General features: G+C 47.1%; 6 annotated features.

The window, feature by feature from the left end:
• Positions 13,259 to 13,759: an enhancer, noted in NCBI's record as "H3K27ac hESC enhancer chrX:47171435-47171935 (GRCh37/hg19 assembly coordinates)". NCBI's record gives its function as "activates a minimal SCP1, AML or CMV promoter by ChIP-STARR-seq in naive H9 embryonic stem cells {active_cell/tissue: H9 hESC(naive)}" and the evidence as "EXISTENCE:reporter gene assay evidence [ECO:0000049][PMID:30033119]".
• Positions 13,313 to 13,607: an enhancer, noted in NCBI's record as "tiled region #8750; HepG2 Activating non-DNase unmatched - State 3:PromF". NCBI's record gives its function as "activates a minimal TATA promoter and a strong SV40 promoter by Sharpr-MPRA in HepG2 cells {active_cell/tissue: HepG2}" and the evidence as "EXISTENCE:reporter gene assay evidence [ECO:0000049][PMID:27701403]".
• Positions 13,825 to 13,884: a silencer, noted in NCBI's record as "silent region_20803". NCBI's record gives its function as "represses an Ori minimal core promoter by ATAC-STARR-seq in GM12878 lymphoblastoid cells {active_cell/tissue: GM12878}" and the evidence as "EXISTENCE:reporter gene assay evidence [ECO:0000049][PMID:35858748]".
• Positions 18,551 to 19,188: an enhancer, noted in NCBI's record as "H3K27ac hESC enhancer chrX:47176727-47177364 (GRCh37/hg19 assembly coordinates)". NCBI's record gives its function as "activates a minimal SCP1, AML or CMV promoter by ChIP-STARR-seq in primed H9 embryonic stem cells {active_cell/tissue: H9 hESC(primed)}" and the evidence as "EXISTENCE:reporter gene assay evidence [ECO:0000049][PMID:30033119]".
• Positions 22,678 to 22,817: an enhancer, noted in NCBI's record as "active region_29589". NCBI's record gives its function as "activates an Ori minimal core promoter by ATAC-STARR-seq in GM12878 lymphoblastoid cells {active_cell/tissue: GM12878}" and the evidence as "EXISTENCE:reporter gene assay evidence [ECO:0000049][PMID:35858748]".
• Positions 23,135 to 23,704: an enhancer, noted in NCBI's record as "NANOG-H3K27ac-H3K4me1 hESC enhancer chrX:47181311-47181880 (GRCh37/hg19 assembly coordinates)". NCBI's record gives its function as "activates a minimal SCP1, AML or CMV promoter by ChIP-STARR-seq in primed H9 embryonic stem cells {active_cell/tissue: H9 hESC(primed)}" and the evidence as "EXISTENCE:reporter gene assay evidence [ECO:0000049][PMID:30033119]".

The raw sequence follows: 23,922 nt of genomic DNA on the forward strand, positions 1-23,922 counted from the left end.
AGCTGTATACCTAAGTATTTTATCTTCTCTAGAGCAATTATGTATGGTATTGTGTTTCAAATTTTGGTGATAATATATAGAAATGCTAATCATTTTTTTTATTCCAATAAAACTTTATTTACAAAAGCAGCAGTCCACCAAGGTCAGGAGTTCGAGATCAGCCTGGCCAACATGGTGAAACCTGTCTCGACTGAAAATACAAAAAATTAGCTGGGCATGGTGGCGGATGCCTGTAATCCCAGCTATTCGGGAGGCTGAGGCAGGAGAATCACTTGAACCCAGGAGGCAGAGTTGCAGTGAGCCGAGATCGCGCCATTGCACTCCAGCCTGTTCCACAAGAGTGAAACTCCGTCTCAAAACAAAAACAAAAACAAAAACAAAAACAGTGGTCCATATTTGGTCACAGGTCATTGATTGCTGGGCCCTACTCTAAGAGAACATAAAAATAACTTGGCCGGGCACGGTGGCTCATGCTTGTAATCCCAGCACATTGGGAGGCTGAGGCAGGCGGGTCACCTGAGGTCAGGAGTTCAAGACCAGCCCAGCCAACATGGCGAAACCCTATCTCTACGAAAAATACAAAACTTAGCTGGGTGTGGTGGTGGGTGCCTGTAATTCCAGCTACTCAGGAGGCTGAGGCAGGAAAATCGCTTGAACCTGGGAGGCAGAGGTTGCAGTGAGCTGAGATCACGCCATTGCACTTCAGCCTGTGCAACAAGAGCAAAACTCCATCTCAAATAAGTAAGTAAATAGATAAATAAATAAATAAAACTTAAAGCAGATATACTCAGGGTTTCTTCTCACAGGCAGAGTTCCATTATTTCTAAATAAGCAAAAAATGACAATTATCTTTTCCATTTAAAAAATTTTCTTTTCTTTCTTTTTTTTTTTTTTTTTTTGAGACAGAATTTTGCTCTGTTGCCCAGGCTAGAGGGCAGTGGTGCGATTTCAGCTCACTGCAACCTCTGCCTCCCGGGTTCAAGCATACTCCTGCCTCAGCCTCCCGAGTAGCTGAAATTACAAGTGCATGCCACCACACCTGGCTAATTTTTTGGATTTTTAGTAGAGACAGGGTTTCATCATGTTAGCCAGGCTGGTCTTGAACTCCTGACCTCAAGCGATCCACCTGCCTCGGCTTCCCAAAGTGCTGGGATGACAGGCATAAGCCACCACACCTGGCCCATTTTTAGAAATTTCTAACGTATGACTGTCAGAAATATCATGATTAGTCCAGGTGTGATGTCTCAAACCTGCAATCCCAGCACTTTGGGAGGCCGAGGTGGGAGGATCACTTGAGGTCAAGAGTTCAAGACCAGCCTGGCCAAGAGTTTGAAACCAGACTTGGCAACATAGTGAGACCCTGTCTCTACAAAAATAAAAAATGAAAGAAAAAATAGCCAGTCATCATGGCACACACCTGTAGTACCAGCTACTTGGGAGGCTGAGCGGGGAGGATTGCTTGAGCCCAGGAGTTCAAGGCTGCAGTGAGCTGCGACCTACTGTACTCCAACCTGGGTGACAGAATCAGACTGTCTCTAAAAAAAAAAAAAAAAAAGCTGTGGGCCGGGCGCGGCGGCTCACGCCTGTAATCCCAGCACTGTGGGAGGCTGAGGCGGGTGGATCATGAGGTCAAGAAATCAAGACCATCTTGGCCAACATGGTGAAACCCCGTCTCTACTAAAAAATACAAAAATTAGCTGGGCGTGGTGGCATGCACCTGTAGTCCCAGCTACTTGGGAGGCTAAGGCAGGAGAATCCCTTGAACCTGGGAGGCAGAGGTTGCAGTGAGCCGAGATTGTGCCACTGCACTCCAGCCTGGTGACAGAGCAAGACTCCGTCTACAAAATAAAAAATAAAAAAGCTGGGCACAGTGGCTCATGCCTGTAATCCCTGGACTTTGGGAGGCTGAGGCAGGTAGATCACCTGCAGTCAGGAGTTCAAGACCAGCCTGGCCAACATGATGAAACCCTGTCTCTACTAAAAATACAAAAAAAATTAGCCAGGTGTGGTAGCAGGTGCCTGTAATTCCAGCTACTCAGGAGGTTGAGGCAGGAGAATCACTTGAACCCGGGAGCCGAGATCTCGCCACTGCACTCCAGCCTGGGTGACAAGAGGGGAACTCCTTCGAAGAAGAAGAAGGAGAAGAAGAAGAAGAAGAAGAAGAAGAAGAAAGAGGAGAAGGAGAGGAGGAGGAGGAGGAGGAGGAGGAAAAAGGGGAAGGGGAAGAAGAAGAAACAATATGGTTAATTTTAGGCCAGAGTCACATAGCTAGCACATATCTCCATGACTAAACCATATCAATTCTAAATCCCTTTTATATATCTCCTCATCAAATGAAAATAATCTCTTTGATGCTTTTTCCCCTGGATAAAACCTTTAGATGGAAGATCACACATGGCCAGAAATTCAAGTGTGGGGGCCATAGGCTGCTGGCTCTCTAAAGGTTCGCTGAAAATCACTGACACGAGGTGAATGGATTAACAGGAGAAAAGGCATCCAGATGTATTTAACATGTGTACACAGGAGCCTCCTTAAATATCACTTCGAGATTACAGACATAATGGGGTTTTAGATTCTGGTCACCCAGATTATGGGAGGGGGAGAAGAGGCTTGGCTGGCAAAGGTGGCCTTGTTATGCAGACGAAGCCTCCTCCCTCAGAGAGAATTGATGGTGAAGGTGTTTTTTTTTTTGTTTGTTTGTTTGTTTGTTTTTTCTTTTTGAAACAGTCTGTTGCCCAGGCTGGAGTGCAGTGGTGCGATCTTGGCTCATTGCAACCTCCGCCTCCCGGGTTCAAGCAATTCTCCTGCCTCAGCCTCCCAAGTAGCTGAGATTACAGGTACTTGCCACCATGCCAGGCTAATTTTTGTATCTTTAGTAGAGACATGGTTTCGCCACGTTGGCCAGGCTGGTCTCGAACTCCTGACCTCAGGTGATCTGGCCTTCTTGGTCTTCCAAAGTGCTGGGATTACAGGCGTGAGCCACCGCATTCAGCCTGATGGTGAAGATTTTTAAAGGTGCCAGATTCTCAATCTCTCCTGGATCCAGGGAAAGGCAGAGAAAGGGAGGGGGCATGGATACATTCATGAAGATTCTCTACAGATGCACATTTTCCCCACTTCAGACAGCTCTGCAAGGCTGCTGCTGTCAGGATGGCCAAGCGGCAGCCATTTCAAAATATGTCAAAGAAATGTATTCTGGGGTAAAATATTTTCATTTCTTTCATAAGCAACCTGTTGGCCTTTGTTATATACACAGCAAGTTTGTTGTCAAGCCCTTTTGTATCTTCATATGTTGTGTATCAAATCTTTTTTTTTTTTTTTTTGAGACAGTTTCACTCTGGTGTCCAGGCTGGAGTGCAGTGGTGTGATCTCGGCTCACTGTAACCTCTGCCTCCTAGGTTCAAGTGATTCTCCTACCTCAGCCTCCCGAGTAGCTGGGATTACAGGCATGTGCCACCACGCCCAGCTAATTTTGTATTTTTAATAGAAACGGGGTTTCACCATGCTGGCTAGGCTGGTCTCTAAGTCCTGACCTCAGGTGATCCGCCCACCTCAGCCTCCCAAAGTGCTGGGATTACAAGCCTGAGCCACCGCGCCCAGCCCATATGTATCAATTCTGACATTTACCTTTCTTCCCCTTGTGAAAGGAAACTAAAAACGCAGGACCCCAATTCACTCTGCCAAAAGGAAAAAATTAAGCTGAAAGCTGAGTCATGCAACTAGCTGTCTTTCCTTTTGTTCCTAAGCCAATAGCTACAGATAAAAGGTTAAATATCTGTAGGGGTAGCTACTCTGTGCTCCCTTATCTTATGTAAAGTGATTTACTGAGTGCAAGATGAATACATAATTGACTCTTCCTCTACCTGCTCCTTTCCTCTTGCAACATGTGGATGACCCATACCCTCCTCCCTCTTTCCCCTCCGCCCCCTTTTCCACTTTAAATATCGAAGCCTTCAAAATCATCTTTGGAGAAAGGCACAGATGTGTCTCGTGGGCATTGTCCTTAACCTTGGCAAGTAAACTTTTTTTTTTTTTTCTTTTTGAGACGGACTCTTGCTCCGTCGCCCAGGCCAGAGTGCAGTGGCACGATCTCGGGTCACTGCAACCTCCCCCTCCCAGGTTCAAGCGATTCTCATGCCAGCAGATGGCTAGGGAGTAAGACTCGAGAAATGACATGGTGCTGAGCCCTGTGGGTTTTCTTACGTATCCAAGACCAGGTGCTGGAGAAACCAGCAACCCAGAACACCAAGCGGTGCAGACAAAAAAGACCCAGGAAAGCCTGGCAGGCACGGTGGTGCGCACTTGTAGTCCCAGCTATCCAGGAGGCTGAGGCGTGAGGTTCGATTGAGCCTAGGAGTTCAAATCCTACATGGGCAACATAGTGAGACCCCCATCTCTAAACAAACAAAGACCCAGAGACCCAGGGAAACCTCTTTCCCTTAGCCAAAGGACCAGGTAAGGAAGGGGAAGCCTCGTAAGAGAGTGTAAACCAAAAAGTATCTCAGACAGGTCTCAATCAATTTCGAAGCTTACTTTGCCAAGGTTGGAAAAAAAAATCATGTACATTTAAAGTAACTAGTAATTTGTGTTTTTAATTTTTTTATTGAGACAGAGTCTTGCTCTGTTGTCCAGGCTGGAGTGCAGTGGAGCAACCTCAGCTCACTGCAACCTCTGCCTCCTGGGTTCAAGTGATTCTCCTGCCTCAGCCTCCCGAGTAGCTGGGACTACAGGCATGCTCACCAAACTCGGCTAATTTTTGTATTTTTAGTAGAGACAGGGTCTCCCCACGTTGGCCAGGCTGGTCTGGAACTCCTGACCTCAGATGATCCACCCTCCTCAGCCTCCCACAGTGCTGGGATTACAGGCGTGAGCCACTGCGCCTGGCCAAAAGTATCCCAGAGAGGTCTCAATCAATTTTGAAGTTTACTTTGCCAAGGTTGGCCAGGCATGATGGTTCATGCCTGTAATCTCAGCACTTTGGGAGGCCGAGGCGGGCAGATCACCTAAGGTCAGGAGCTCAAGACCAGCCTGGCCAACATGGTGAAACCCCCTCTCTACTAAAAATACAAAATTAGCCAGGTGAGGTGGTGCACACATGTAATCCCAGCGACTGAAGGCTGAGGCGGAGGTTGCAGTGAGCCGACATTGCGCCACTGCACTGCAGCCTGGGTGACAGAACGAGATTGCATCTCAAAACAACAAACAAACAAAAAAAGTGCATGTTAAGTAATTAGTAATATGTTTAGGCTTGTATCTGCCATTTAATTTTATTTTTATTGTAAATTGGCAAATTATAATTGTATGTGTCTATGGGGTTCAAAGTGATGTTAGGATATATGTATACAATGTGGAATGATTAAATCAATCTAATTAATATATTCATCACTTCAAATACTTGTCATTTTTTGTGATGAGAAATTTGAAATTTACTGTTAGCAATTTTAAAATATATAATATGCTATCATTAATTATAGTAATCATACTATGCAAAAGCTGTCAAAAAACTTTATCCTGTCTAACTGAAACTTTGTATCCTTTGACCGACATCTCCCTATTCCCCTCACCCTCAGCCACTGGTAACTACGATTCTATTCTCTGCTTCTATGAATTTGATTGTTTTAGATTTCATACATAAATGAGAACATGTGGTATTTGTCTTTCTGTGTCTGGCTTATTTTACTTAGCATAATGTCCTGCAGGTTCATCCATGTTAGTGCAAATGACAGAATTTCCTTCCTTTTAAAGGCTGAATAGTGTTCCATTGTGTGTATTTACCACATTTTCTTTATCCATTCATGTGTTGATGACACAGGTTGATTCCTTATCTTGGCTATTATGAATAATGATATCATGAACATAAGAGTGCAGATATCATTTTAACGTATTGATTTCAAATCCTTTGGATGTATACCCAGAAGTGGGATTTTTAATTTTTAAGGAACCTCCATACAATTTTCCGTAACGGTTGTACAAGTTTACATTCTTCACAACAGTGTGTAAGGGTTCCCTGTTCTCCACATTCTCACCAACATTTGTTATCTTTCATCTTTTTTAAAATTGTATTTTATGGTCTGGGTGCGGTGGCTCACACCTGTAATCCCAGCACTTTGGGAGGCTGAGGTGGGGGGATCACGAGGTCAGGAGTTTGAGACCAGCATGACCAACATGGTGAAACCCTGTCTCTACTAAAAATACAAAAATTAGCCAGGCGTGGTGGTGCGCGCCTGTAATCCAGCTACTCGGGAGGCTGAGGCAGGAGAATTGCTTGAACCCAGGAGGCAGAGGTTGTGGTGAGCTGAGATCCCACCACTGCACTCCAGCTGGGGCAACAGAGCAAGACTCTGTCTCAAAAAAAAAAAAAAAAGAAAAAAAAAGAAGTTGTAGGGGTCTCACTGTGTTGCCCAGGCTGGCCTAGAACTCTTGGGCTCAAGCAATCCTCCCATCTCAGCTTCCCTAGTAGCTGATACTAAAGGCATCCACTGTTGTGCCCAACTTCGTCTTTTGGATAATAGCCATTCTGGCAGGTGTGAGGAGATATCTCATTGTGGTTTAAATTTGTATATTTTATTATTTTTTTCTGTTTGTTCCCTCTGATTCTCATTTCTTTGTTTCTCTCCCTTTGCCTTCCTTGGGGTGGGTACATGACCATTGTTTTTAGAATTCCATTTTGACTTATTTATATAATTTTTGGGCATATCACTGCTATGATTTGAATGTTTGTGTCCCTTCCAAAAATTCATGTCTAAACTTGATCCCCAATGCAGCAGTGTTGGGAGGTGGGGTCTTTTGGGATGTGTTTAGGTCAAGAGGACTCTGCCCTTATGAACAGATTAATACTGTTAGAAAAGGGCTTCATGGAGGGAATACCTCCCTTTTTGCCCTTTCCCCTTTTTTTGCCATGTGAGGACACAGTGTTCCCCCACTCCAGAGGATGCAGCATTCAAGGCACAATCTTAGAAGCAGAGAGCAGCCCTTCCCAGATGCCAAACCTGCTAGTGACTGGATCTTGGACTTCTCAGCCTCCAGAACTGTGAGAAATAAAGTTTTGTGTTTTATAAATTATCCAATCTCAGGTATTCTGTTACAGCAGCACAGAATGTACTACGACAATCACTTTGTATGGTCTTCTTAGTGATTGCTCTAGGTATTACAACTTGCACGTGTAACTTATCACAGTCCACCGATGTCAGTGTTTTACCACTGTAATTGACGTGGAGGAATTTACTTCCCTTTAGATCCCTTTACCTATCCTATTTTCAAAATGTAATTGTCCTAAGTGTTCTCTCTATATACATTGAAAACCGTATCAAATGTTGTTACAATGTTTTGCTTCAACCATCAAATATGGTTTTAAAACCTCATGAGAGAAAAAAAAGCTCATGAGGAGAGTATTTACTCCTGTTTTAACCCATTCTGTTGTTCTCTTTTCCTTTCTGAAGTTCCAAGCCTTCATCTGTTATTTCACTTCTGTTTGAAGAACTTCCTGTCACCTTTCTTTAATAGCAGATGTCCTAGAAACAAATTTGCTATGGACTGAATTTTGTCTCCCCCAAAATTCATGTGTTGAAGACTTCACCCCCTATGTGACAGTATTTGGATGTGGGACTTTGGGGAAGTAATTGGGTTTAGATGAGGTCATCACGGGCCCTTGTAATGGGATGAGTACCCTTATAAGAGACACCAGAAAGCTTGTTTCCCCTACCCTTCTCTCTCCTCCCACCATGGAAGGACACAGCCAGGAGGCAGCCCTCTGCAAGCTGCTAAGAGAGCCCTTTCTGGGAACCAGATCAGCCAGCATCTTGACTGAGGGCTTCCCAGCCTCCCGAACTGTGAGAAATGAATTCATGTTGTTCAAGCCACCCAGTCTATGGTATTTCGTCATGGTAGCCTGAACTGATTAACACAGGCTTGTTTTAGTTTTCCTTCGCCTGAGAATGTCTTTATTTCCCTCTCATTCCTGAAAGAGACTTTCCCCAATGTAGGACTCTCAGTTGACAGTTCTTTCAGTACTTGAAGAATATCATGCCACTTCCTTTCAGTTTCCCTAGTTTCAGATGAGAACGCCACTGTCATTCTAATCAGTGTCCCCTATGCCTCATGTGTCATTTCTCTCTAGCTGCTTTCAAGGGTTTTCCTTTGTTTTTAGCGTTTAGAGGTTAAATGATGACATATGGGCGTGGGTTTTGTTTGGTTTACCCTACTGGGGTTTGCTCAGCTTCTTCAATCCGTAGGTTTATGTCTTTTGCCCAATTTGGGAAGCTTGGGCCGGGTGCAGTGGCTCATGCCTGTAACCCCAGCCCTTTGGGAGGCCGAGGTGAGTGGATCACCTGAGGTCAAGAGTTTGAGACCAGCCTGGTCAACATGGTGAAACCACGTCTCTACTGAAAAAAAAAAAAAAATTAGCTGGGCGTGGTGGCACACGCCTGTAGTCCCAGCTACTCAGGAGGCTGAGGCAGGAGAATTGTTTGAGCCCACGAGGCAGAGGTTGCAGTGAGCTGAGATAGCACCACTGCACTCTAACCTGGGCAACAAAGGGAGACTCTGTCTCGAGAAAAAAAAATTAAAAAAATATATATATATATATGAAACTTTCAGCCATTATTTCTTCCAATATTTTTTCATCACTACTCTGTTTCTTGTCTACTTGTAGAAGTCCAGTCTAGTGATATAAATCTTAGATCTTTGTTATTGCTCTGTAGGTCTCTGAGACTGTCCATCTTTTTTTAGTGTATTTTGCCCCTGTTGATGAGATTGGACAATTTCTACTGTTCTGTCTGCCAAGTCACTTCTCTGTCACGTTCATCCTGCCATTGAACCCTTTGCATTAGTTTTAACTTTTTTTTTTTTTTGCCCAGGCTGGAGTGCGATGGCGCGATCTCGGCTTACCACAACCTCTGCCTCCCAGGTTCAAGTGATTCTCCTGCCTCAGCCTCCTGGGTAGCTGGGATTGCAGGCATGCGCCACCATGCCTGGCTAATTTTGTATTTTTCGTAGAGACAGGGTTTCTTCATTTTGGTCAGGCTGGTCTCGAACTCCCGACCTCAGGTGATCCACCCACCTCGCCCTCCCAAAATGTTGGGATTACAGGCGTGAACCACAGCGCCTACTTTTTTTTTTTTTTTTTTTTTAAGAATCTCCCTCTGTCGCCCAGGCTGGAGTGCAATGGCGCGATCTTGGCTCACTGCAACCCCTGCCTCCTGGGTTTGAGCAATTCTTCTGACTCAGCCTCCTGAGTAGCTGGGATTACAGATGTGTGCAACCACACCCGGCTAATTTTTGTATTTTTAGTAGAGAAGGGGTTTCACCACCTTGGTCAGGCTGGTCTCGAACTCCTGACCATGTGATCTGCCCGCCTAGGCCTCCCAAAGTGCTGGGATTACAAGCGTGAGCCACCGCACCTGATCAGTTTTAACTTTCATTTATAATTTTTATTTCTATCATTTCTATTTGGTTCTTTTTCTATATCATCTATATGGTGAGATTTTCCTTCTTGTTTTTTTTTTCATTTATTTATTTATTTATTTTTTAACAGGGTCTCACTCTATTGACCAGGCTGGAGTGCAGTGGTGCAGTCACAGCTCACTGCAGCTTCAACCTACTGGGCTCAATTGATTCTCCTAGCTTAGCCTCTCAAGTAGCTGGGACCACAGGTGCACACCATCATACCTGGCTACTTTTTGTATTTTTTGTAGAGGTGGGGCTTCACCATGTTGCCCAGGCTGGTCTCAAATTCCTGGGCTCAAATGATTCAACTGCCTTGGCCTCTCAAAGTGCTGGGATTACAGGCGTGAGCCACCACGCCTGGCACAAGGATTTCTATTTCTTCTTTTGTTTCCAGTTTATTTGTAATTCCTTATTGAATCATTTTTATGATGACTACTCTAAAATCCTTGTCAGATAATTCCAGCATCTGATTCATCTTGTTATTGGCTTCTGTTTCTCTGTTTTGTTTTTTGGCTTTTTTTTTGAGACTGAGTCTTGCTCTATCACCCAAGCTAGAGTACAGTGGCATGATCTTGGCTCACTGCAACCTCTGCCTCCCAGGTTCAAGCGATTCTCCTGTCTTAGCCTCCTGAGTAGTTGAGATTACAGGTGCCTGCCACCACACCCGGCTCATTTTTGTATTTTTAGTAGAGACGGGGGTTTCACCATGTTGGTCAGGCTGGTCTCGGACTCCTGACCTCAAGTGATCCACCCGCCTCGGTCTCCCAAAGTGCTGGGATTACAGGTGTGAGCCACTGCACCTGGCCTGTTTGTTTGTTTGTTTTGTTTTTGTTTTTGTTTTTTTGAGACAGAGTCTTACTCTGTTGCCTAGGCTGGAGTGCAGTGGCACAATCATGGCTCACTGCAGCCTCAACTTAACCTGGGCTCAGGTGATCCTCCCAGCTCAGCCTCCTGAGTAGATGGGACTACAGGCATGTGCCACCACGCCTGGCTAATTTTTCTGTTTGTTTATTTTTTTTTTTTTGTAGAGATGAGGTTTCACCATGTTGTCCAGGCTGGTCTTGAACTTCGGGGCTCAAGTGATCCGCCTGCCTTGGCCTCCCAAAATGCTGGGATTATAGCTGTGAGCCACCCTGCCCAGCCACTATTGGCTTCTATTGATGGTCTCCTTTCATTTACATTGTGATTTCTCTGGGTTTTGTTATGACATCTGATTTTTTATTGTATCCTGGACATTTCGTCTATATGCTAGGACATTCAGGGTCCTATTTAAATCTCTATTTTAGTAGGCAGTCATTCTGTTTAGGTTTAGCATTCAGGTTCCAATGACAATTAAAAAAAATTCGTAGAGACAAGATCTTGCTCTGTTGCCCAGGCTGGAGTGCAGTGGTATGATCATAGCTTGTTGCAGCCTTGACTTCCTGTGTTCAAGGGACCCTCCTTCTTCAGCCTCTTGAGTAGCTGGGACTATAGGCACGTGCCACCATGCCTGGTTAATATTTTAATTTTTAGTAGAGACGAGGTCTTGCTATGCTGCCTGAGCTGGTCTGAAACTCCTGGGCTCAAGTGATCCTCCCACCTCACTCTCCCAAAGTGCTGGGATTACAGGTGTGAGCCACCACACCCAGCCTCCGATGACAATTTTGTTTACAGAGACCTTACAGTGTCCTTCTGGTCTGTTTCATTTGCCTGGTTCCATTAGGGCGTTATCTCAGTCTTTATTGGTGCCAGGGGCAGATGTTGCTTCCCTGGTTCCATCTGGTGCTGCTGGGTAGGGGATGGAAGATGTGGAGTTGGGAGGTGGGAGGACTTTTTTCAGCTTCGGGTGTTGGTAGGCCTTCTGCTCCATTTGCCTTGGTGCTGGACTTAGGAGTAGAAGGTCTTCTCCCCTTCCCCTGGGTCTGCATGATGCAAAGTTTTTTGTTTTCGTTTTTGTTTTTGTTTTGAGACGGGTTCTCACTCTGTTACCCAAGCTGAGTGGAGTGGCACAATCACAGCTCACTGCAGCCTCAACCTCCTGGGGTCAAGCAATCCTCCTGCCTCAGCCTCCGAGTAGCTGGGACTACAGGCACGCACTACTATGCCTGGCTAAATTTTTATTTTTTGTAGAGATGGGGTCTCACAATTTTGCCCAGGCTGCAAAGTTTTAAACAGAGTTTTTTTGTGTGTGTGTGGTTGCACTGCTGCAAATGGCTCAGGGCACCTCATCAGACTTTCACTTAGTTGATCTGTCTGTGAATCAGATCCTGTTAGCCTCAGGAATCTCCATGTATCAAGGCAAGTGCCATATGCAAAATCCCAGGGGGCAGCATGGCATAGTGGCAACTTCTTTTTGCCATAGCTTCCAGTCTGCATAATTGTCAGTCCCTGGCATTCAAAAGGCCCATTAGGCCTGATCGGCCCAAGTGTGATGGCACTCTGTATAGCCCGTTGGATTTTTTTATTCAGAGCACTGCCATCTCTATTAGGTTTTTGTTTAATACAGTGATCTTCTCCACACCCCTCCTCCATCTTGTGTTATTTTACTGATACCTCATGGCTGGGTGGAGGAAGCCAGGTGGACTCCTGCTTGTGTTCTATCCCACAGCTGCTGTTTTAATTGTAGCATTCCTCCATTGAGAACATCTCATATAATCAGGAGAAGGCAGGGCATAGTGGCTCATGCCTGTAATGCCAACACTTTGGGAAGCTGGGGTGGGAGAATTGCTTGAATCCAAGAGTTTGACACCAGCCTGGGCAACATAGTGAGACTATGTTTGTACAGCAAATACAAAAATTAACTGGGCATGATGGTGCACACCTGTAGTCCCAGCTACTCAGGAGGCTGGGCAGGAGGATCGCTTGAGCCTGGGAAGTCGAGGCTGCAGTGAGCCATGATTGTGCACTGCACTCTCCTGGGCAACAGAGTGAGACCCTGTCTCAAAAAAAAACAAGAAAACCAGGAGCAGTATTACACATCTATTATTACAGTACTTTTATTATTTATTTATTTTTTTTGGAGACTGAGTCTTCCTCTATTGCCCAGGCTAGAATGCAGTGGAGCAATCTTGGCTCATGGCTACCTCCGCCTCCCGGGTTCAAGTGATTCTCCTGCCTCAGCCTCCCAAGTAGCTGGGATTACAGGTGTGCACCACCATGCCTGGCTAAATTTTTTTGTATTTTTAGTAGAGACGGGGTTTCACCATGTTGGCCAGGCTGGTCTTGAACTCCTGACCTCAGGTGATCTGCCTGCCTCAGCCTCCCAAAGTGCTGGGATTACAGGCTTGAGCCACTACGCCCAGACTATTACGGTACTTTTAGCAGCATCAGTTCAAACCACTTGAGTGTGTGTCCATCAAGTAAAACATAACACAGTTTGAACAAGTATCCTTCACAGTGGCGAATCCGTGTGGGTCTGCGGCAACCTCAATCCTTGCCTCATAAGAAGAAAGAATTCAACTGAGGGGCATAAAGCAGAAGGAGAGACTGAGGCAAGTTTTAGAGCAGGAGCAAAAGTTTATTAAAAAGCTCTAGAGCAGGAACAAAAGGAAGTAAAGTGCACTTGGAAGAGGGCAAAGTGGGTGACTAAAGAGTCAAGTGCATGGTTTGACCTTTGACTTGGGGTTTTATACTTCAGCATGCTTCCAGGGTCTTGCGTCCCTTCTCCCATGATTCTTCCCTTGGGGTGGGCTGTCCCCATGCACAGTGGCCTGCCAGCACCTAGAAGGGGCCACATGCACACTGTGTTTACTGGAGTTGTACGCAAGCTCACTTGAGGCATTCTTCCCTTACCAGCCGAAAGGTCAGATACCAGTTAAACTCCGCCTCTTAGTGCGCATGATTGAGCCCATTCGCCCAACTCCTGGAATCTTATCAGAAAGCTGCTGTTCACCAGCTTCAGGTGTTTTCTATTTATTGGGAGACCACCTTTCCCTGGTGCCAACCTCAACCAATTACCATTTTAGAAAAACAGTTTAACAACCGCCTGACTGTCACCTGATGGTCGCCTGACATTCCTGGGGGTGGGGGTGGGGGCGCTCCTGCCCTGCTCGTGTCTGCCTGACTACCTACTGTAACAGTATCAACCATGGTGAGGCACCCCTGAGAACCTGAGAGGGTGTCACAGGTTCGATGTGGTCAATCTATTAGGAGCAGGTGGGGGCCAATGCCTAGTGTAATGGGGACTCTGTAACCAAAAGACTAATGGACTAATGGTCTGGCATCCGAATCAGAAATGTAGAGTTCTCTACTTTGTAACAAACAGCATCTTTTCCCCATTTTGGCTTCCAGAGAGCTGAGTATTTTGAATCCACCCCTGCAGATTCGCTATAAGAAACTTTACTTGGCAAGCAGGACTCTGGATTTTGTTGGGGTTGACCAGCTACCCCTGCTGGTGGAGGCGCGACAACACCTTGGTTCGGGCTGTGAGACTAAGGCTTTTTTTTTTTTTTGAGATGGAGTCTCACTCTGTCACCAAGGTTGGAGTGCAGTGGCGTGATCTCAGCTCACTGCACCCTCCACCTCTCGGGTTCGAGTGATTCTCCTGTCTCAGCCTCCCGAGTAGCTGTGATTACAGGCACCCATCATCATGCCTGGCTAATTTTTTGGTACATTTAGTAGAAACGGGGTTTCGTCATGTTGACCAGGTTGTTCTTGAACTCCTGACCTCAAGTGATCCACCCGCCTCATCCTCCCAAAGTGCTAGGATTACAGGTGTGAGCCGCTACACCCAGCCGAGACTAATGCTTTTGAATTGCCACCCAACGGAACATCAGCTATGTAGTGAAAGCTCCAGACATCAGAGGGTAGAGGCACTTGCACTGAGAACTCACCCACTGGTGACAAATGGTAGTAGAGTTTTCCCTATGAGTGCTTTTTACATGTAGCAGTGCCCTAAAAAGAGAAAGAAAGCATGTGTGATCAGACCTGGGCGGTGGGGGGGGGGGGCAGGGTTGGGGGGTGTCTCCCCATTGCCCTTAACTTGGCTTGCAGAGCTCCTCTGTCTTCTCTCCAAAAAGACATTGTGACCTTACTTGGCTTCACGTTGGATGCCAATTTGTCAAGCGGCCAAGCAGTTGTTAAGCAGCAGCACAGTAAAGTTGGCTTGTCACATTTCTTTAGATTCAGCTGGTAAGGAGACAACAAACTCATTTTTATTTTTATTTATTTTTTTTCAGACACAGTCTCACTCTGTCACCCAGGCATGAGTTCAGTAGCACAATCACGGCTCACTGCAGCCTCGACCTCCCAGGCTCAAGTGACCCTCCCACCTCAGCCTCCCGAGTAGCTGGGACTACAGGTATGTGCCACCACGCCTGACAATTCTATTTTTATTTTTTGTAGAGATGGGGTCTTGCTATGCTTCTTCAGCTGGTCTTGAATTTCTGGACTTAAACATTCCTCCTGCCTCAGCCTCCCAAAGTGTTAAGGATTACAAGTGTGAGCCACCTTGCCCAGCCGCATAAGGATTTATTATGTTCACACAGTAAAAGCAAGGTCATTGTGTCATCCCAGAGGATGACACTCAACTAGATGACACAAAACATGCATGGTGGCTCACTTTGTTGTGGATGACCCTCCTCTAAACTACAGCCAAGCCGTCTTAAAAATTACAATGAAGTCAGCTGGGTGCGGTGGCTCACGCCTGTAATCCCAGCACTTTGGGGGGCTGAGGTGGGTGGATTACTTGAGGCCAGGAGTTCAAGACCAGCCTGGCCAACATGGTGAAACCCCGTCTCTACTAAAAATGCAAAAAATTAGCCGGGTGTGGTGGCTCATGCCTGTAGTCCCAGCTGCTTGGGAGGCTGAGACACTAGAATTGCTTGAACCCGGGAGGCAGAGGTTGCAGTGAACTGAGATTGTGCCGCTGCACTCCAGCCTGGGTGACAGAGCAAGACTCTGTTTCAAAAAAAAAAAAAATGGAATTGAGAATTACAGTGAAATCTTCCACTGTACCCTAAGGGGCAGGCCTGCTGAGGCAGAAAGTCCCCTGTGTCATCAGAACCAGAGAGACAGGCTGGGTGCAGTGGCTCACACCTGTAATCCCAACACTTTGGGAGGCTGAGGCAGGTAGATCGCTTGAGCCCAGGAGTTTTTTTTTTTTTTTTTCTGAGACGGAATCTTTCTCTGTCACCCAGGCTGGAGTGCAGTGGTGTGATCTTGGCTCACTGCAACCTCCACCTCCCAGTTTCAAGCAGTCCTCCTGCCTCAACCCCCCGAGTAGCTGGGATTACAGGCACCCACCACCACACCTGGCTAATTTTTGTGTTTTTAGTAGAGACAAGGTTTCACCATGTTGGCCAGGCTGGTCTCAAACTTCTGACCTCTGGTGATCCACCCACCTCGGCCTCCCAAAGTGCTGGGATTACAGGCGTGAGCCACTGCACCCAGCTGAGCCCAGGAATTTGAGATCGGTTTGGGTAACATGGTGAAACCCTGTGTCTACAAAAAAATACAAAAATTAACTAGGCGTAGTGGCATGCACCGATAGTCCCAGCTACTCAGGAGGCCAAGGTGGGAGGATTGCTTTAGCCCAGGAAGTCAAGGCTGCAGTGAGCCGTGATCATGCACTCCAGCCTAGGTGACAGAACAAGACCCTGTCTCAAAAAAAAGAACCAGGGAGGCAGATGAGAAACAGCTTTGTGATAGCTCTTCACAGGACTGCTGTGTTCCAGGCGAAGATGCCAGGGCATGCCACCAGGATTCAGGTGACTGCTCCCAAGCTTTGACTCTGTAGCCTATGCGGAGAAATGCCAGGCTGCCAGGGCACCTGGCTAGAGCCCTCCACATACAATTTATACAATGAGACAGGCCTTATAGCTTAGAATCTTATCAGTATTTATTTATTTATTTATTTACTTATTTATTTATTTTGAGACAGAGTCTCGCCCTGTTGCCCAGGCTGGAGTGCAGTGGCACGATCTCAACTCACTGCAGCCTCCACCTCCCGGGTTCAAACGATTCTTCTGCCTCAGCCTCCCGAGTAGCTGGGATTACAGACGCGCACCACCATGCCCAGCTAAATTTTGTATTTTTAGTAGAGACAGGCTTTCGCCATATTGGTCAGGCTGGTTTTGAACTCCTGACCTCAGGTGATCCTCCCGCCTCGGCCTCCCAAAGTGCTGGGATTATAGGCGTGAGCCACTGCACCCGACCATAGTGACTTTTTGCAAACCCTCAAGGGCTGTAAACAAAACAACTTTCCATTGCCAGAGAATTATATTTAAATCAACGTTACTATCCAAATGTCTAAATGTCTTTTAACACATGGTTACTTGTTTATTTCTTCTCTAATCTTCTATGCAGGATAAATTCAGATTCTTGTCCTCAGGAGTCTGGATTAAAAATATACTTTGTATTGCTGGCAATATTGTCATAAAACTAAATTTTCTTATACGGATACATTAAAAAGCACAGGGAGTGCTGGGCTTGGTGGCTCATGCCTGTAATCCCAGCAATTTGGGAGGCCAAGGCGGGCAGATCTCTTGAGGCCAGGAGTTCGAGACCAGCCTGGCCAACATGGTGAAACCTCGTCTCTACTAAAAATACAAAAAAAATTAATGGGGAGTGGTGGCATGGACCTGTAATCCCAGATACTCAGGAGGTTGAGGCGGGAGAATCGCTTGAACCTGGGAGGCAGAGGTTGCAGTGATCTCAGCTCACGCCACTGCACTGTACTCTAGCCTGGGAGACCCCGTTTCAAAAAAAAAAAAAAAAAAGAACAGACAAAATGAATCTACGGTGCAACAAGTGAGGGTAGGAGCAAATGCTTGGGAAGGACACAAAGGGAGGTTCCGGGGGTGCTGGTGATGTTCTGTTCCTTGACCTAAGCATTGTCACTGTGGGGAATGTGTATTCACTTTGGAATAATTCGGTCAGTTGGACCCATGGGTTGTGTATATATTTTTTTCCTGGCAGGTGAGTGGTTACACACTCCACTCCTTAGTGGATTTTGGCTTCCATGGCTACTGTCCTGCTGCTTTGTACATTTTTCTGATAAAAGCTTCAGTGAAAGGTTTTACAAATCAACAGAAAGAATAAACGATGAAGAGGAAAATGGCCTGGGAAAAAATGATTTCATACAGATAAGCTTCCCAGACGCTCTTGTTTCCTGACTCCCGTCCAAGCGCGGTGGCCAGCCATCTAGGCAGCCTTCCTTAGGCTTTCTCTCGGCTTCTGCCTTTGTCTGCAGCCCTCCTTTCTTTTCACTCCAGGGGCTGTTTATTGATCTCCTTGCTGCCATGCCTTCTGTTCCCATGGTAACGCAGGGGCTGCCCCATGCTGTTATGCACTTTTCTCTCCTAGGCTCAAAACAAGCATTGCAGAAACGGTTCTTTGGAACGTGAGTCCCCCTAGATACTCTATGGAAAGAGAAACCGGTTCATGGTCAAAACAGTTTTCAGGGGGCAGATATGGTGGCTCATGCCTGTAATCCCAACACTTTGGGAAGTCGAGGTGGGAGGATCGCTTGAGGCTAGCAGTTCAAGACCAGCCTGCGCAACAAAGTGAGACACCCCGCCCCCACTACACACACAATCTCTAAAAATAAGTAATGAATGCCCTTACTCTTGGAATTTCCCAGTAGATATTAGCATCTTAAAGGCTCTGCACCTGTTTAACCAAAATTTTCCCTAACTTTTTTGACCCTGGAGAGCCCTCCCACCGCTTTCCCTTTAACATTTGCTGGTGCCCTGGGGGACTATCTTTTGTGGCAACCATTTTGGGAAATGCTGCCCTTAGCCCTTTTATATAACTATTTGATGGACAGCTCTATCTGGATGTCACAAAGATACATCAAACTCATCTTGTTCAAAACAGATTTGATACTGTCCCTGTAATCTTCAGTTCCTACATCTTATCAGTCCTCCAACCCTAGGATTTACTTTCTTCAAATGTCTCTCAACCCCCTGACACATCTCATGCTTACTGCTTTTTTTTTTTTTTCAATGGGGTCTCCCCCTATTGCCCAGACTGGAGTGCAATGGCACCATCTTGGCTTACCACAACCTCCACCTCCCGGGTTCAAGCAACTCTCTTGCCTCAGCTTCCCAAGTAGCTGGGATTACAGGCGCCTGCCACCACGCCCAGCTAATTTTTGTATTTTTAGTAGAGATGGGATTTCACCATGCTGGCCAGGCTGGTCTCGAACCCCCAACCTCAGGTGATCTGCTGCCTTGGCCTCCCAAAGTGCTGGGATTACAGGCATGAGCCACCGTGCCCAGCTGCTCACTGCTTTTTAAAAAAATTAATTTATTGATTTTTATTTTTGTAGAGACAGGGGTCTCACTATGTTGCCTAGGCTGGTCTTGAACTCCTGGCTTCAAGCAATCCTCCTGCTTCAGCCCCCCAAAGTGCTGGGATTACAACCGGGCACTACCATGCCCAGCTAATTTTTGTATTTTTAGTAGAGACAGCATTTCACCACGTTGCCCAGGCTGGTCTTGAACTCCTGGGCTCAAGTTATCCACCCCCCACTCAGCCTGCCAGAGTGCTGGGATTACAGGTGTGAGCCACCACGCCCAACCTATACTCCAATTTAACAAGCTCTGACTTTGCAAAAGAACACCAAGATCTTGGTTCCAGTTGTCAAGAAAAGGTTTCCCTGGGGTCAGGGTGTATGGGCCAGGAGGTGCGCATGCAGCGGGCCTCATAGTACAGGGAACCTGGCTAAGAGTGTTCCCTATTTTTACTTCAGGCCTTGATTACATTTTGCACCTGGACTTCTGCAGTAGTATCCTAAATATCTATCTGATCCCCACTTCTCTCCCCCTTCTTAAATGTACACTTCACACTGCAACGCGACTGCTGGAAATACACCGTGATTATGTTATTCCCACTAGTTAAAACTTCCCATTGGGCCAGGCACCATGGCTCACACCTGTAATCCCAACACAGGGAGGCTGAGACGGGCGGCTCACTTGTGCTTAGGAGTTGGACACCAGCCTAGCCAACATGGCAAAACCCCATCTCTACAAAAAACACAAAAATTAGCCAGGTGTGGTGGTGCGTGCCTGTAATCCCAGCTACTCAGGAGGCTGAGGGAGGAGAATCACTTGAACCCAGGAGGAGGAGGGGGATATAGTAAGCCGAGATTGTGCCACTGCATTCCAGCCTGGGCGACACAGCAAGACTCTGTCTCAAAAAAAAAAAAAAAAAAAAAGAAGAAGAAAGAAAGAAAAGAAAAGAAACAAGGTCGGATGTCGGATGTGGTGGCTCACGCCTGTAATCCCAGCACTTTGGGAGGCCGACGTGGGTGGATCACGAAATCAGGAGTTTGAGACCAGCCTGGCCAACATGTTGAAACCCTGTCTCTACTAAAAATAAAAAAAATTAGCCGGGTGTGGTGGCAGGCGCCTGTAATCCCAACTACTCCGGAGGCTGAGGCAGGAGAATTGCTTGAACCTGGGAGGCAGAGGTTGTAGTGAGCCAAGATCATGCCACTGCACTCCAGCCTGGGCAACAGAGCGAGACTCTGTCTCAAAATAATAATAATAATAATAATAATTTTAAAAAGAAAAGAAAAGAAACAAACCTCCCATTGGCTTCAATGAAAAGCTTGAATTCCATCAGCTCTGAAGCCTCTCATGCCCACCTTCTCTTCCCCTGCCCTGTGTACAGATCACAGAAGGTAGCAAATCTAATCCCACCCTCCACTCACTCTGCCTAGAATTTCTTTATCATCTTTATAGATTAGTAGAGTCAGACCTGGGTTCAAATCCCTGCTTTACATCTTGCTAGCTATGTGACCTCATGCAGAGTATTTCAGCACTACAGGCCTAATTTTCCTCAACTGTAAATTGGGAATCATCATGGACCCAGTGCTTAGCAAAAACAAGCAAACAGGCCAGGTGCGGTGGCTCACGCCTGTAATCCCAGCACTTTGGGAGGCCGAGGTGGGTGGATCACATTAGGTCAGGAGTTTGAGACCAGCTTGGCCAACATGGTGAAACCCTGTCTCTACTAAAAATACAAAATTTAGCTGGGCATGGTGGTGCGCATCTGTAATCCCAGCTACTCGGGAGACTGAGGCAGGAGAATCGCTTGAACCCGGGCGGTGGAGGTTGCAGTGAGCTGAGATCATGCCATTGGACTCCAGCCTGGGCGACAAGAGCAAGACTCCGTCTTAAAAAAATAAAGAAATAGGCCGGGTGCAGTGGCTCACGCCTGTAATCCCAGTACTTTGGGAGGCCAAGGCGGGCGGATCACGAGGTCAGGAGATCGAGACCATCCTGGCCAATACGGTGAAACCCCGTCTCTACTAAAAATACAAAAAATTAGCTGGGCGTGGTGGCAGGTGCCTGTAGTCCCAGCTACTCAGGAGGCTGAGGCAGGAGAATGGCATGAATCCGGGAGGCAGAGCTTGCAGTGAGCTGAGATCACGCCACTGCACTCCAGCCTGGGCGATGGAGCAAGACTCAAAAAATAAAATAAAATAAAATAAAAATAAAATAAAGAAATAAATACAAATAAAGCTGTGGCTGGGCACAGTGACTGATGCCTATAATTCTAGCACTTTAGGAGGCTGAGGCAAGAGGATTGCTTGAGCCAGGACTTCAAGACCAGCCTGGGCAACATAGCAAGACCCTGTCTCTCTAAAAAATACAAAAATTAGCTGGGTGTGGTGGTGTGTGCCTATAGTCCCAGCTATTCGGGAGGCTGAGGTGGGAGGATCACCTGAGCCTGGGGAGTTGGAGGCTGCAGTAAGCTGTGATTGCACCACTGCACTCCAGCCTGGGCCATAGAATGAGACCCTGTTTCCAAAAAAAAAAAAAACAAATAATTTTAAGACTCAACGTTTTGTATACAGTCCTTATTCTAACTCTGAATCTAATATTTAACCAAAAGTTACACATCTCAAGCCAGGTTCACCCAGAACACTGCTAGAGAGGATCGACCACCTTAACCCCACCCAGCTTCAAGCTTTACAAGGAGACCCAAGCTGCACACGGGCCTCTGCTTACGATGCTGAAGAGAAGGTATGTTGTGAGCCTGCATGCCCCTTCACCCTGAGATCTGATTCCCTGTCATCTCCGACATCCTGTCTTTCTGCTCTCTTTCTGGTCGCCCCCCTCCAACTTCCCTCAAGCCCCATGCCCCTATTACACCCAGTAACTTCTCACTTCAAGCCTTTGTGTTTGCTCTTTCCCAGGTGCCTCGGTGGCTTGCTGCTCCCTCCTGTCTTTGCTCCAATAGCACCTCTGCATGGAGGCCTGCCTTGACCTTCTTGCCCCAAGTCAGAAAGCCATCATCCAGAATTTGAAAATGATAGCTTTTCATTGGTATATCTATACCGATGGATCTATTGATTGACTTATTGATAGATATAGTGCCCTCCTTAACTTGCTTTTGGCCTGACCTGTCTGGAGTGCAGTGGCATGATTTCAGCTCACTGCAGCCTCCACCTTTTGGGCTCAAGCGATCCTCCCACTTCAGCCTCCTGAGTAGGTGGGATTACAGGCATGCACCACCACGCCCAGCTAATTTGTGTATTTTTAGAAGAGACGGGGTTTTGCCATGTTGCCCAGGCTGGTCTCGAACTCCTGAACTCAAGTAATCCGCCCGCCTCAGCCTCCCAAAGTGCTGGGATTACAGGCATGAGCCACGGCACCCGGCCTCAAGGGGATTCTTAATGTAATTGTTCACTTTACATTATATAAAAATGTAAAATGATTACTTTTTATATAATTATATATGTATATCTCTAAATTTATACTTTCTTGGTTTCCCTGTTGATATAAAAGCTCTTTTCTTTATTTTATTTATTTATTTATTTGAGACGGAGTTTCGCTCTTGTTGCCCAGGCTGGAGTGCAATGGCGCAATCTCAGCTCACTGCAACCTCCGCCTCCCTGGTTCAAGCGATTCTCCTGCCTTAGCCTCCCGAGTAGCTGGGATTACAGGCATGCGCCACCACACCCGGCTAATTTTGTGTTTTTTGTAGAGATGGGATTTCTCCATGTTGGTCAGGCTCGTCTCGAACTCCCCACCTCAGGTGACCCACCCGCCTCGGACTCCCAAAGTGCTGGGATTACAGGCGTGAGCCACTGCGCCCAGCCTTCTTCTCTTTAAAAGTATGGTCTGCCATTGAGATTTTATTAAGTTAACCATGTTCTTAAACTTGGCACAATTCCCATAGGCTCCATCTAGAAAGCTGACAATCTCCTTCGGGCAAGCTCACTGGGGATTTGCGGTTGTAGACCAGGGGAGTAGGGGGCGATTTCAACGAACATAGCCCTCCCGACAGCGGTGCTACTCGTCCTTCAGCATCCTTTGCCTTAACCTCAAACAAAATGGCGGCGCCCACACTGTAGCCTTCCTCGGGCGCCGCCATGTTGGATGACGTTTAGCCTCTCCCTCCCCCGAGAGTCAGCTCCTTGTTAGCCACGCCCACCCCTGGGCTTGCGTGATTCCCCCTCCCCCGGATGCACTAGGCCTGAATCCCATTCTCCTCACCACACCTGGCCAGGCCTGGGTACGATCCAGTCTCCAGCACATATGTACTCTGCTGAGCATTCTGTCTCTGATCGTGACCTCCAGGCCTCAGCGTGACCTGCCAAATGTTCCCATGGGAGATCTGAGGCCTGCATTGCTAGTGCCCCCACTGTAACTAAGGGGCTGGCTTGTTGCTAGGAGTTTCCTTGTAGCTAAATTCCAGTTTAGGAACTTAAGCTGTTTGATTGCAGGACAAGACCCTAAATCCCAGGCCTAAGCGTAGTGTTAATGTCAGTCCCTAGACTGATCACCAAGCCCAAGCTTGCGCCCCTCAACCGATTAGACGCCCACCCACCAAGGGGAATGCCTCATTTGAGTCCACTCTCAGCACTCCCATCGTCACCCCACCCCCGCCAGCATGGCACTCTTGACCCTGTCTGAGCCTCCGTGTGGCCACCTGGTCCCATTTAGAGGTGGAGAGCAGGTGGTGAGACGCACAAGAGTTTATTCTGAGCTCCTTGCGTTGGCCCCTCGCACACCGCTCAGTAGCTTTGTCTCGAGGCTTCCTCTGTCCTCGCGTAGTGAGCCGCGAGCAGTGGTCGGCTTCTGCAGTCGGCTTGGGCGGATCATGCAAACTGAGAGGAGAGACATGGTACCTGCTGGGAGAGCAGCTGGGGGCCGCTGAGGAGAAAGGGAAAACAATACAAGGGACAATGAGGGTCAGGACACAAACATCCCTACACACTCTCCTCAGGCTGTCCCCTTCACCTTAGGACACTGTCCTTCCCTCCTCCTCCCTCCCACACTGCCTCCCAGGCATCCCTCCCTGCTCCTGGGGACAAGCAGGTCCCTGACATCATTAACCCTTCAGGCCCACGCACAAGTGCCAACCTGTTCTGGCTGCGGTTCACAGGCCGGCCGGGAAACAGTAGCTGTAGCTCTTATACAGGAACACACACCTCTCATGCCCATCCAGGAAAGAATGGGTAAGCCTCTGCCTGAATGGCCAACATTCACCACCACCACCCAGGACCTTCAGAGACATCTTGAGGCAGGAACTGGCGTCTTG

This window comes from Homo sapiens, chromosome X, assembly GCF_000001405.40.
Source record: "Homo sapiens chromosome X, GRCh38.p14 Primary Assembly".
Lineage (NCBI taxonomy): Eukaryota > Metazoa > Chordata > Mammalia > Primates > Hominidae > Homo > Homo sapiens.